Consider the following 14,445-nt stretch of genomic DNA (forward strand, 5'->3'; position numbering starts at 1 on the left):
GCATATTCACATGCAAAAGAATGAAGTTTGACCCTTACATTGTACCATATACAAAATTTAACAACAAAAAAAAAAAGATCAAAGACCTAAACATGAGAGCTAAAAATATAAAGCTCTTACAAGAAAACAGGGGAAAACCTTCATGACATTGGATTTTTCAATGATTTTATTGGATATGACAGTAAAAGCACAGGCAACAACAAAACCCGATTTTAAAATGGGCAAATTGCTTGAATAGATATTCCTCCAAAGAAGATATATAAATGGTCAATAATCACATGACAAGATGCTCAACATCATTAATCATTAGGAAAATACAAATCAAAACCATGATGAAGGCTGGGTGCGGTGGCTTACGCCTGTAATTCCAGCACTTTGGGAGGCCGAGGCGGGTGGATCACGAGGTCAGGAGATTGAGACCATCCTGGCTAACACAGTGAAACCCTGGCTCTACTAAAAATACAAAAATATTAGTCGGGCATGGTGGCACGTGCCTATAGACCCAGCTACTCGGGAGGCTGAGACAGGAGAATTGCTTGAACCCGGGAGGTGGAGGTTGCAGTGAGCCGAGATCGTGCCACTGCACTCCAGCTTGGGTGACACAGTGAGACTCCGTCTCAAAAATAAATAAATAAATAAATAATAAAAAACCATGATGAGATACCACTTCAAATCCATTAGGCTGGGTATTTTCCAAAGAAACAAACAAAATCAGAACTTGTTAGCAAGTATGTGGGGACATTGGAACCCTTGGGCATTGCTGATGGGAATGTTGCTGTCTCCTGAAAAACTTAAAAATAGAATTGCCATATGATCCAGCAATTCTACTTCTTGATATATACCCAAAAGAAGTAAAATCAGGGACTCAAGCAGATATTGTACATCAATGTGCATGGTGATTACTACTCATAATAGCCAAAAATTAAGGAAAAATATCCTGTCCTGTAAAACAATTTTAGGAAGAAATGAAGAGGCATGGAAAGAGTAAATCTGAAGGTAAGTGTAAATGAATATTGACTGCAAGATAATAATCCCTAAAATCAGAACATTCTCAAGGAAGTAGTAAAAGTATCAATTTATAATGGATTCTAATAAAAACCAAGGAGGCATGTTATAATCTCTAGGGTAAAACAGGAGTATATCTAGCAACTTAATAGAAGGTAAAATGCATTAATTAAAAGTATTGATTAAAAGAACGCAACAAAAATAGAAAAAAAACAGAACAGGGAAGACAAATAGAAACACGGTAGATATAAACCCAAATACATCCGTAATTATATTACATGTAAGTGAACTAAATGACAAATATTCTCCACTAGAAACTTTTTTAAAAAATTAATTATATGCCACTTACACAGGACACACAATAACTATAAGGACTCAGGAAATTTAACATTAAGAGTATGGAAAAAGATACAATATTCAAACACTGAAGAGAGCTCTTAAATAGCTTTACTAATATCAGACAAGAAGTAGACCTTAAGGCAAAAATATTATTAGAGATAAAGTAGAACATTCTATTGATTAAAGAGTCAATTTGGCAAAAATATATTCTTAAAGTATATACATCTAATAATGAGACAGAGTAGGGATGGGACTCAGCCTACCCCCACCAATGTATTTTTTCATAACATACTTGCTGAATGGAGGTTAGTGAGCTCTCTGAAAAAAACTAAGATAAGCAGCATCCCACCATAAATCTCACTCAAAGGAGTTAACCCTGTTGCCCTGATGTGCACAAGACCAGAAGAATGATCTTTAACACATGCTTCATTATAATACTAAATTTCCCACATATCTGCCATTTTGTTTCGTTGAGGTGGTGTTGTTTTTAGGAGGGGGTGTTGTTTGTTTGTTTGTTTGTTTTGAGACAGGATGTCACTCAGTCACCCAGGCTAGAGGGCAGTGACATGATCACAGCTTATTGCAGCCTTGACCTTCTGGGCTTGAGTGATCCTTCCACCTTAGCCTCCCAAGTAGCTGGGACTACAGGTGCACACCACCATGCCCTCCCTAATTTTTTTATTTTTGTAGAGACGGGGTCTCACCATGTTGCCCAGGCTGGTCTCAAACTCCTGGGCTTAAGTGATCCTCCCATCTCACCCTCCCAAACTGCTGGGATTACAGGTGTGAGCCACCGCACTCGGCTTATCTGCCATTTTGATCATGTGACATGTATGTTACCATGATTCCTTACTGCATCTGCCCACTCTGCATTCCATCCTGCACATGTAGTGATGCTCACCTACCTCATGAATTATGCATGTCATCCTCGTTAAGACACCGTGATGCAGTCTCCTCAGGGACTCAGCCAGAGAACCCTTTTTCCTGTGCTGTTTCCCTTATGCCCAACATTTCTGGGCATAAATCTTAATAAAACTTAATCTCAGAAAAGTTTGTCTGGCCTGATATTAATTTCTATTACATTGAGAGCTGAAAATGTCATACCAATAACATATTTCTTGGCAACCATGAAGGGGTTGTGAGGATTTTTGTACTTATTCTGGGGGGTTGAGAGCTAGCAGGACTGGTTGATGTGACCCCTTTTTGCAGCTAATGAGGAGGTACCTGAACTTTTGATTCAGCGTCACCACAAATGGTAAGTCTTCCTCTGGCCTCACGGGGCTCCTTGCTCACCCATAAACAATGTTCTCTTTTCCTTTCTATCTTCATTTGCTCCTTTCAGCACTCCTTTTGTTTTTTCTTCACTTTCCCCATAGTTTTACTATTTTGGATTGCCTTAATAGACATCTGTGAGAGATGAATTAAAACAGTTTCCCCCAGGGTCTGATTAACCTGGCAGGCAGCAGGACAGGTTGCATCCCTCCCTTGGCCTACATGGTCTGGTTTGGGTTTCAGTCCCGAAGAATCAGGCAGACTGGTTTGGGCTGGAGTCCCAAAGAATCTGGTTTCTGGCACTCTGGCTGTTGACTCTGTAACTTTGTTTAAAAGCCCTCTCTACTTCATTTCCCTGTGCCACACTTAGTGGGGAGGAGAGATCTGTGACTCTTCCTGATGTTTGTCTGTCCAGTGTGTAGTCCTGTCAGTTTGGGGAGACTGCCTGAGATGGTGCCGGGGACACCTGGCTGGACTTAAGGAAAGCATCAGGGATGCCTGGATGTGACAGTCAGTGTTGGTTTTCTGCACAGTAAGAAAAGTTGAGAGCTCAAATGATTAACCTGCAACTATGGAGTTAAGTTGAGTCTTCTAATACTATCTTCCTCTCTTCTGCCTGCTTTGAATCTGTTGCTACTAAGCTGTTGGTGCTGAGGTAAGACTCATTATTTATGGTCTAACTGAAATATAAACATTGGAAACTCATTTGAAACTGAAGGAAACAACGGGTAAAAGAGGTTTTTTAAAACAAACTGTCATAGAGACTGCTTTACCCAAATTTTGGTCCACAACTTTCCTTAGATTATCTATTGGGGTAAACAAAATTTAGCCATGTGAACAGGTTCCAATTTTGTACAAAAAAAAAAAAAATCATTTGGCTCCATCTATCTTTTATGATGTGTTGACTTTGTATTGCTATCATATATGGATAGAATTCTGAGGTAAGAGCTATCGGATCTTTATGTGTATATATACGTGTTTAGATGTGTTTATGTGTGTATACATGCATTATGTTAAGTGTTGTGTCTAGCATGCTCCTAAATTGGCTTATAAGTAAATGAATACTCATAAATTAAGTCCAATGCTGTTTTAGTTTATATGACTTTAGCAATCTTTGACAAATAAAGATCATTTTAAAGATTATTGGCAAAATAAAAACATCTTCAAAATTCATACCTTTGGCCTCAATTAGGCAGGTTAAAAGACTGTGCTTGCTAGATGCTATAACATCATAAACTGATACTGTAATTTTTGATAACTGTTCAACTTGCCTGCTTGGAAGCCATTAGATTCTAGGCAAGGCCCGGGGACATGTGGAGTTAGCCATGCCCCTCACTATGATGGAAAAGAGTCAGATATTATCTTCAGTTCCTGTGTCCTAGGCTCTGCACCTGGTACATAATTAAAATTGCTTACACTAAAAATAAAAGTGATGTGTTTTTTTTTATAAAAAGGCATGGGGATGTGGTTTATTAAAGAGAAAGTAATTTTTTCCAGTTTAGAGGGTTTAAAAATTATTTTGAATTAAAGATAGGATAAAACTAAAGGTTTAAATGAATTGTAAAAGATTTATAAAAGACTACTCTTGTAAAAAAAATTACATGTGGGAGCAAGTTGAGTTACAATTAAAAGGGTATTATTTACTTTTTCCACAAATTAAACATTAAAATAAAAGCACATGATGCAAAGCCAAAATGTGGGCCCATGTGTCAAAATAAAAAGGGTTTCTTGGAACGTTAAGTTGCTCTAACCAAAAATTGTAGAGTTATTTATGGGCATCTTACCTTGTGGTCAAACTAAGTAAAATTAGATAGATTTGTTTATAAGATTTTATTTAAAATTAACCTTAATGCTAATAATGCATTAATACAAAGGTAGAATTTGGTTTTCTCTTTTAAACAAGATTTTTCTGTAATAATTAAAAGGATAATAAAAGATTTCAAAAGGAGACAGATTCAGTTGGCCTTATGATGTCTTCACCAGATCTTATTGTCTGGAAAACCAAGTCTCTACCAAAGAATAAAAGTTTTGCTTTTAAAATATCTTTAAATTATTATTATTTGGCTAAATAAATGGCTTATAGTGACCTGGGATTCTATTTTGTGATATCAAGTGTTTTAAACATTTGCTATCGACAAATTTTCCAAGATCAATTTCTAAATTAAATCTGTTTTTTTGGTCCTAATTAACTTTTTAACTATTAGGTCCCCTGAAGTCCAAAAAAGACATATTGAGCTTAGTTGGTATATTAAGATCATATAGAAAACACTGTCAAATATAAAATGGTGTTTAAATTTCTTTGGGTCATAATCATATAAATGTTATTAATTTGTATTCCAAAATTGTATTTTTGGAACAAAATACAATTTTTTTCCTAATTCTCATTCTGATTTGTCTATAATTCTGATTTGTCTCAGTATTTGTTATCAGTAATAATTATGGTTATGTGAAATTACTGTGTGCCACAGAGATGGCTAGATTTCCTTGTTAATTGTGGCTTTAACTGTGACTGTCCTAAGACTTTTGTCATCCATGGATAATTGTTGTCTTGATCCTTTTCAAAAGGTGGCTTATAATCAGCTATAAAACTCTCATGGGTGCCCTTGAATGAAGGTTTCTGATAACTTTAGTGGTTGTGCCATTGAAATAGAAAAAAAAAAAAAAAACTTCCAGGACTTGCATAGAGAGCCAATGTGTTCATGCGGACTATTGGCCCAATATTGGGCAGAACAAGAGTTAATTGCATGGACTTACCTAGTAGAAGACTGAAATAGGCCAGGCACAGTAGCTCATGCCTGTAATCCCAGCACTTTGGGCGGCTAAGGCCAGAGGATCACTTGAGCCCAGGAGTTTGAGACCAGCCTGGGCAATATAGGGAGACCCTGTCTCTACAATCAATCAATCAATAAGCTGGGTATAGTGGCATATGCCTGTGGTCCCAGCTACTCAAGAGGCTAAAGTAGGAGGGTTGCTCTAGCCCGGGAGGATGAGGATGCAGTGAGCTGTGATCACACCACTGCACTCTAGTCTGAGTGACAGAGCCAGACCCTGTTTCAAAACAACAAAAAAAGACTGAAATAATCTTTCTTAGACCTTTTTATTTAAAACATTGCTGATCCTTCTAAGTTTTTCAGAATCAAGAAAACTTTTTTCTCTGTTAAGCTATTTATACCTTTTAACAACTGAGTAAAGTAGACTTCTGTAAGCAAAATTTGGGGCATTATTTCTTTCTGTCTAGTTAACTTCTCCAGAATTTGAAAATTATTTGTGAGTATTCCTAACTTGCAGCAATATAGTTGTTTGCCTAAGTGCAATAAGAATCTGTCTTCTTTTGTAACAGGCATAATTAGAGACACTTTTTGTTTTAAGGCTTTGACTGGAATAGCATGCTTTCAGATTGCTTTTAAAAATTGGGGATTACTTAGAGAACCAATAAAAGCTCCTTGGAGGAAATGGTCTCATACTTTGTCTATGCAGTCCCTGCACAGGGTTCCTGACCTGTGGAAAAGAATGTCACTTTCTGACAGGTCCAGGAGCCCCCAAACTATTATAAGACTTGTAGAGGAAAGGAGTTCACCCAATTCATACAAGTATTTGTAGGCGCAAATACATCCACAGTGGGGCTCAAGGCTTTAAAAAGTCTAACCAGAGATTCCTATGGAAGTTTCAGCAAAACCAGTTTTTTTTAAAAAAAGGATACTACATGGCAAATGATTATTCTTGCTGTACTTTATGCAAATAATCACAGCAAGTATAATAAGATAAAACAGCCAGACATGGTGGCTCACACCTATAATTCTAGCACTTTGGGAGGCCAAGGCAGGTGGATCACCCGAGGCCAGGACTTCGAGACCAGCCTGGCCAACATGGAAAAAAAAACCTTTTCTCTACTAAAAATACAAAAATTAGCTGGGCATGGTGATGCACATCTGCAATCCCAGATACTCGGGAGGCTGAGGCACGAGAATCACTTGAACCCAGGAGGCAGTGGTTGCAGTGAGCTGAGAGTGCACACTGCACTCCAGCCTGAGTGACAGAGCAAGCTTCTGTCTCAAAAAAAAAAGACTAAAACTTACCGCAAGATAAGTTTTAGTCTTGTTATACCATATTCCAGCATGATTTATCTTTGGTAAAACTGGGAGACTGGACAGGAAGATTACGTTTTGTTTAAAAAGAAAATGTATAGTGCACCAGTTATTGGATTCCAGTTCTTGTCTGTTGTTTTTGAGTTTTTATTATTTTCTACAATTTGGATTGGCTCTTCAATTCTTTCTGGGCTCCAAACCAACATTTTCAAAATTTTCTTCTATTTTTCAGACTAGGACTCAATGAAATTGCTGCCCCCATGTTCCTGAGGCTCTGCAAGCTGAAGCTTATTTCTCATGATATAGGCAAGAAAAATGTGTCAGGTTGCCACCACCTTCCTCCCTGGTAACTAAAGATATTTTGAGTCTAACATCTAGATACATTGTGTCCAACATTAACCTTTGTTTTTCTTCTGTTTCCATAAAAATGCCTCTTATTAAAAACCTGTTTGCCTTCATTAATATAGAGGCTCAGCCTGTTTGCAATGCCACCTCCTGGAATGAGACACAGTTGTTTAAACTAATCTATTCTCAGGACTAGGAAGCTGACTCAACAAGGGTGTGGATGGTTGAAGCTCGTATCTTCCAGGCTTCAACAGTCCCCAGTCAAGCTGATGATGGAACAACATATACTATACTAGGAGTATCTAAGTCCCTATAAATCATTAGATCAGTCAGCAAGAGATTTTTACAACCTCCAATGTTAGGCAACGACAACAGTCCAGTTCAGGAAGAAGCAGCTCCAGAAGACAAGACCTCCATCCCCTTCTCCTTAAGAATAAGGAGGGTAAAATCTCTCAGGGGGAATGAAACAGGGTAGAGGTGGGACTCAGCCAGCCCCCACCAATGTATTTTTTCATACATACCTGCTGACCAGACCTTGCAAACTCTCTGAAGAAACTAAGATAAGCAGCATCCCACCATAAATCTTACTCAAGGCACCATATCTGCTGATTGTGGGACCTTGAAAAACCACAATAAGCAACACCCAAACATGAATTTCACTCAAAGGAGTTAACCCTATCACCTACATGTGCACAAAACCAGAAGAATGACCAATCTTTGACCCATGCTTCATTATAATACTAAAATTCCTGCCCAAGGAGGGGCTTATCTGCCCTTTTATGGTCATATATGTTACCAAGATTCCTTACTGTATCTGCACACTGCATTCTACCCTGCACATATAGTGACACTCACCTACCTCATGAATTCTGCATGCCACCCTCCTTAAGACATCACGATGCACTCCCCTTGGGGAGTCAGCCCAAGAACTTTTTCCTTTTCTGTCTTCCTTATGCCCAGCCTTTCTGGGGGTAAGTCTTAATAACCCTTGTCTAGGAAAAGTTTGCCTGGCCTCATCTTCATTTCTATTACTAATTTCTATTGAGAGCCAAGAACCTCATGTACATAACAATAATTTCACTCCAAAATATATAAAGCTTAAATTGACAAAACTAAAATAAGTGATAATTCTGTAATCCTAGTAGGAGACTTTCACAATTCTCACAATATTTTCTTTTATGTATTTATTATCATGACCTCTACACACTGAAACAACTCTCACATTTGTAAAATATAGAACAAACAGAAAAAAAATTCTAAGGAATTACAGTGTAGGTTGACAATTTAATTAATAAAATGGCCTCACGGATGTATAGATAACAGTGCAACCAATGACAGAAAACTTATTCTTTTTAGATGCACAGAGAAAATTTACCAAAACTTAGCATGAACTGGTTCATAAAGCAACTTACAACAAATCTCATCAGATGGAAATCATTTAGAGTAGTGCTGTCCAATAGGACTATTTTTGTCCTATTTATATTGTTGAATACAGTAGTCACTATAGTCAACACAGCAGTTACTAGCCAGATGTGGTTATTGAACACTAATATATGACTGGTGTGGCTGATGAACTAAATTTCATTTCTAATTAGTTCAAATAGCCACATGTGGTTATGGCTATCATATTGGAAAGCACAGACTCACCGTATATTTAGACAATCACACACACACTCACACACATACAGTGTAAATAACCCATGGGTCAAAGAAGTAAGCACAATAGAAATTAGAACATATTTTTATCTGAATGATAGTAAAAATTGTGGCATACAGCTAAAGTCCTGATTAAAGATAAATGTATTCAGTGTATGTATTAGGGGAAAAAGGCTAAAATGCAATGATCTAACTATTCCAAGTTATAAAAAGAAAGCAAATAAATCTAATGAAAGTAGAAAGAGTTAAATGGTAAGGAGTATGAATTAATGAAATAGAAAATAAACATTTAAAAAAGGAAAATAAAGGCAAAATGGATTTTTTGAGAATAATAAAATTGATAGTCTCCCAGTAAAACTGATCAAGAAAAAAAGGACTATTTGTCAAACAAAGAATGCAAAAATGTCCATCAGCCCAGATCCTGTGGTCATTACAGATATAATATAAGGGATAATACAAAATTAGCCAGGCATGGTGGTGCATGCCTGTAATCCCAGCTACTCCGGAGGCTGAGACACGAGAATCACTTGAACCCGGGAGGCAGAGGTTGTGGTGAGCCGAGATTGCGCCATTGCACTCCAGCCTGGGGAACAAGAGCAAAACTCCGTCTCTAAATAAATAAATTAAATAACCTTAAAAAATTGAAAATCTGTCCAAAATATACACAAGAAGAAATCTAAAATCTGAATAGCTCTGAGTCTCTTAAGGAAATTAATTATAGTTTAAAATTTGCTCATAAAATGTATTCTAGGCTAGATAGTTCAATGAAGAATACTTTCAGCATTAAAGGAAAAAATAATTAATTGTACGCAATCTCTTCAAGGTAATGGGAGAAGATGGTATACTACCCAACTAATTTTATGGCATCTGTGGATTATGCTCTTTAGAAAGGAAGATTTCCTCCCTCAAACAAGACCAGAAGGAGCCTGGTTTTCCCTAGAATTCTCCTCACATCTCCCCAGGACACCCTCCAGGCCTTTGTCAGGTAGTTACTGCTGAGCCTTTCATCATCATTTAAAGGAATCTCTTTCCAACAGTTAGCATTCACTTCTCTGGCAGACTGAATCTAACTAACTATCTACAATATGACAAAATATACATTTATCACTTACATTACACTCCTCTACACAAGGTGCTTGTTATTTGTAAAGATCGTTTTCATTTAATTTCTTTTGGTCTGTTTACTCAATAATATAACTAATTACACAGGACCAGTCAAAATTCCAGACTGCCAGTTGGTCTAGGGGGCTGGCTCCACAGGAAGCTCCAAAGCAATGAGAACATTCCTTCCCAGTAAGCCATGCTATAGGGAAATAAGTGGCTATATAAACCATGAGTTAGCAAACTATTTTAGGAAGGCCAGATAGCCACTTGTTTTTGCAAATAAAAAGTTTTCATGGAACATAGTCATGCCCATGTTATCTAAGGCTGCTTTCTGCTATGATGGCAGAGTTAAATACTTGGAACAGAAACTCTATGGTCCTCAAAGCTGAACATATTTACTATCATGTCCTTCAGAGAAAATGTTTGCTGACCCCTGATCTAAATGAGAATTTTCTTCCTTTTAAAATGTTTTACTGATTTCCTGCTGATTATAAATTTACTGATAGCTTATTGTAAAAAAAAAAAAAAAAGAAAAAATAACATGTAAGAGAATAAAGATAAAAGTCACTTATTGCCAGAAGCCTACTTAGCAAATTGTATGTATAATGGTAAACTAATTTTTTTCCTATTGTTATGTCATATTTTACATGTCCATAACATAGTTCTATAACATCATTTAAAATTATGTCTATAATGGGTGGATGTTAGTAATTCCTTTCTTGATATTCCTCCTTCCCCCTCCCTGACCCAAGCTTTCTCAGTAGCCACACCTGCCCTGATTTTCCTTTAAGTAATTCGCTCTTTTCCTGAGACATTAAGTTTTGTTAACTTTGAATTTTGACAATTTCAAAATTATATAAAAATTGAAAGAATAATACAGAGAATTCCTGTATATCCTTTACCCAGAGTCCTCGAATGTTAACATTTTACCATATTTACTTTATAATCCTCCATCCTACCAACTCTATCTAATCTACTTACCTATCTAGACATATATCTATATATAACACATCTAGACATACTACTATACCTATTACTGTTACATATACCTATCTAGGCATATTTTATATATATGCAATATGTACATATATACATTATATGTATATATATATTTAATTTTGGAGGGGAGAAAATGTATACAAATTTATTTAACATGTATACACGGGGAGAATCACAGAATGATTGCCCCACATATGTAGAATATTTGTCTGAATTATTTAAGAGTAAGTTGCAGACACTATGCCCCTTTGACATTTATGTAGAGTAAAATGGGAGAGCATTTCGAGCAGAGGAGTGACATGGTCTGACTTATATGATCTAGGGGCTGTGTTGAGAACTGAGTAACATAGGGCAAGCAGAGAAGCAGGGAGGCTATTAGCCTGAGCAACTGGAAGGACAAAATTACCATTTTCTAAGAGGAGGAAGACTAAAGGAGGACACGTTTGGGGAAGAAATTTGCTTCTGGGTATATTAGGTTTATTATGCCTAATCAGTCATGGTACCAAAGCCAATTTATAAGGCTCCTTATGTTTTCAGGGCCAGAATTTTCTGCTCTTACGATGCTGATGATTGTCTAAGATTGCACCATCCACCCTGGAGGTTGCTGACTCCCATTTGATTGCTGGCCTGCCACTCATCCTGTGCTGTTTTCTTGGAGCCTGACCTCCTCAGTGATTGCTGCTGGAGAGACTGAATGGTGCAACCTGGAAGTGCGGTGTAGCTGATGCTCTGTGGTGGAAACTGACCAGATGGAGAGAGGAGTCTGCAGAGAAGTCTTCTCTTTCTTCCTCACCCCATAGTAAGGTAAGATGCAGTACTTTAGTTCACATGGCTTGTGCCCTGAAAATGATCAGTGAGACTAAGCAAACAGCTGTGCCTTTAGAAGCTACAGACAGCTCAATAACACCTACTCATATTTGCTTTCTCTCCTCTGCTTCACTTCTCATTTACCTTCAGTCATGCTTTTCTTGAATTGCATCACCCTAATATTGTCTTAGTAATAAGGTTTTGTCTTAGGCCCTATTTTCTCAGGAATCCAGACTAAGACAGGTTTCATAGTGGAGATGTTTATTAGGCAAAGGGATACATGAGTCTGAAGTTCAGAGAAGAGGTCTCTGGGCTGGGGATATAGATTTTGGATTTGTAGATAGTATTTAACAAGATAAGACCATGAAATCAACTAGGAAGTGGATATAGCTAGAAAAGAAAAGAGAGCTGAACACTGAGCCCTCAGGCACTCCAATATGTAGAAAGAAGTCCAGAGAGGTGAGGAAATACCAGCATTGAGACTGAGAAGAAACAGCTCATGAGGTAGAGAGAAATCAAGAGTGTTGTTCTGGAAGCCAAACTAAAATATGTCAATTATACAAAATACTATTCATTGGTAAGCAATGTAAGTCTGAGAAATGAGAATTGGAATCATCAACACTGAGGTTATCAAACTTGGCTAGAACTCTATGTTGAGAAAAATTGTATAATATATAATAATGTCACACCTCTCACTCCTGATATAATTTGTATCTTCTTTTTCTCCTGATCAGTTTGGCTAGAAGTTTATCAATTTTACTATTATTTTTACAAGATACTTTTGGTTTAAATTGAGTATAGAAATTCATTTTTTGCTCGTTTTTCCGTTTCCTATTTTATTGATTTCAAATCTAATCTTTATTTCTTTTCCTCTCTTTATCTTGGGTTTACTTTATTCTTATTCTATCTTATTAAGTTGGAAGCTGAGGTAATTGAGAAATTTTTTCTACTATAATTGCTTTATTGCTATGAATTTCCCTCTAAGTAATACTTTGACTGTATCTCATAGATGATGATGAAGTTAATGATGATGATAATAATTTTAATATATATTTTTTGAAGAACTGTTTTAGGTTCACAGCAAAATGGAGCAGAAGGTACAGAGATTTCCCATATACGCCCTACCCCGACACATGCATAGCCTCCTCCATTGTCAACATCCCCCACCAGAGTGGTATATTTGTTACAACTGATGAACCTACGTTAACACTACATTATCACCCCAAATCCATAATTTACATTAGGGTTCACTTTTGGTGGTGTACACTACAAGGGTTTGGACAAATTTATAATGACATATATCTACTATTATAATATATACAGTAGTTTTACTGTCCTAAAAATTCTCTGTGCTTTGTGTATTCATTTGTATTCATCCTCTCTCCCCTCTACCAACCCCTGCAACCACTGATCTTTCGAATGTCTCCAGAGTTTTGATTTTCCAGAATGTTATATAATTGGAATCATACAGTATGTAACCCTTTCATACTGGCTTCTTTCACTTAATAATATGCATTTACATTTCCTCTGTTTTTTCATGGCTTGATAGCCCATTTATTTTTAGCACTGAATAATATCCCACTGTCTAGATATTCCATAGTTTATTTATCCATTCACCTACCAAAGGACGTTTTGGTAGTAAATGTAAATCTAATCTTTATTTCAAATCTAATCTTTATTTCTTTTCCTCTCTTTATCTTGGGTTTACTTTATTCTTTATTCTTATTCTATCTTATTAAGATAGATAATTCTGGCCCAGAATGTGGCCTATCTTGGTGAATATTCCATGTGAACTTGAGAATAATGTGTATTCTGCCATGTTAGATGAAATGGTATATAGATGTTCATTATATCCAGTTATTGGATATAACTGGATATAAGTATCTTGTTGAGTTCAACTATGTCCTTACCTGCTGGATCTGTTCATGTCTGATATAGGGGCATTGAAGTCTGCAAGTGTGACTTCATGGTGGATTCATCTATTGCTCTTTGCATTGTCATCAGTTTTTGCCTCATGTATTTTGACAATGTTGTCAGGCACATACATGTTAAGAATTGTTATGTCTTCTAGGAGAATTAATCCCTCTATCATTTTGTAATACTCTTGGTTGTCCCTGATACCATTCCTTGTTTTGAAGTCTGCATTGTCTGAAATTGATATAGATGCTTCCACTTTCTTTTGATTAACATTAGTATGGCACAGCTCTCTCCATCCATTTACTTTTAATCTATTTTTGTTTTTATATTTAAGGTGGGTTGCATTGCTTGTAGACAATATATACTTGGGTATTGTTTTTGATCGACTCTGACAATCTCTTCCAATTGATGCATTTAGACCATTGATATTTCAAAGTGATTATTGACATACTTGAACTACCATCATATTCGTTACTGTTTTCTATTTGTTGTCCTTGTTTTTTGTTACTATTTTTGTCTTCCACTCTTTCTATGCCTCTTGTGATTTTTCTTTTTTTAAAAAAATGTGGTCTTACTATGTTGCCTGGCTGGTCTCAAACTCCTTGGTTTAAGTGATCCTCCTGCCTCAGCCGCCTGAGTAGCTGGGCCGATAGGCATGGGCCACTGCACCTGGCTCATGGGTCTTGTGATTTTAATTGAGCATTTTATATGATCCGCCCGCCTCGGCCTCCCAAAGTGCTGGGATTACAGGTGTGAGCCGCTGGTATTACAGGTGTGAGCCAATGCGCCCGGCCAGGTGTTGGGTATTTAAAAAATACACACACATACACACGTTCGTGTCCGATACAGGGACATTGTATTCTTGAACTTTCTTCTGGGATGTGTTTAAGTTTTATCTTCTCAGGTCTTGCTTTTA

The 14,445-nt window shown here is 36.9% G+C and overlaps 1 annotated feature.

Moving 5' to 3' along the window:
- Positions 9,441-10,136: an enhancer, noted in NCBI's record as "OCT4-NANOG hESC enhancer chr18:32904859-32905554 (GRCh37/hg19 assembly coordinates)". NCBI's record gives its function as "activates a minimal SCP1, AML or CMV promoter by ChIP-STARR-seq in naive H9 embryonic stem cells {active_cell/tissue: H9 hESC(naive)}" and the evidence as "EXISTENCE:reporter gene assay evidence [ECO:0000049][PMID:30033119]".

Source organism: Homo sapiens, chromosome 18, assembly GCF_000001405.40.
Source record: "Homo sapiens chromosome 18, GRCh38.p14 Primary Assembly".
Lineage (NCBI taxonomy): Eukaryota > Metazoa > Chordata > Mammalia > Primates > Hominidae > Homo > Homo sapiens.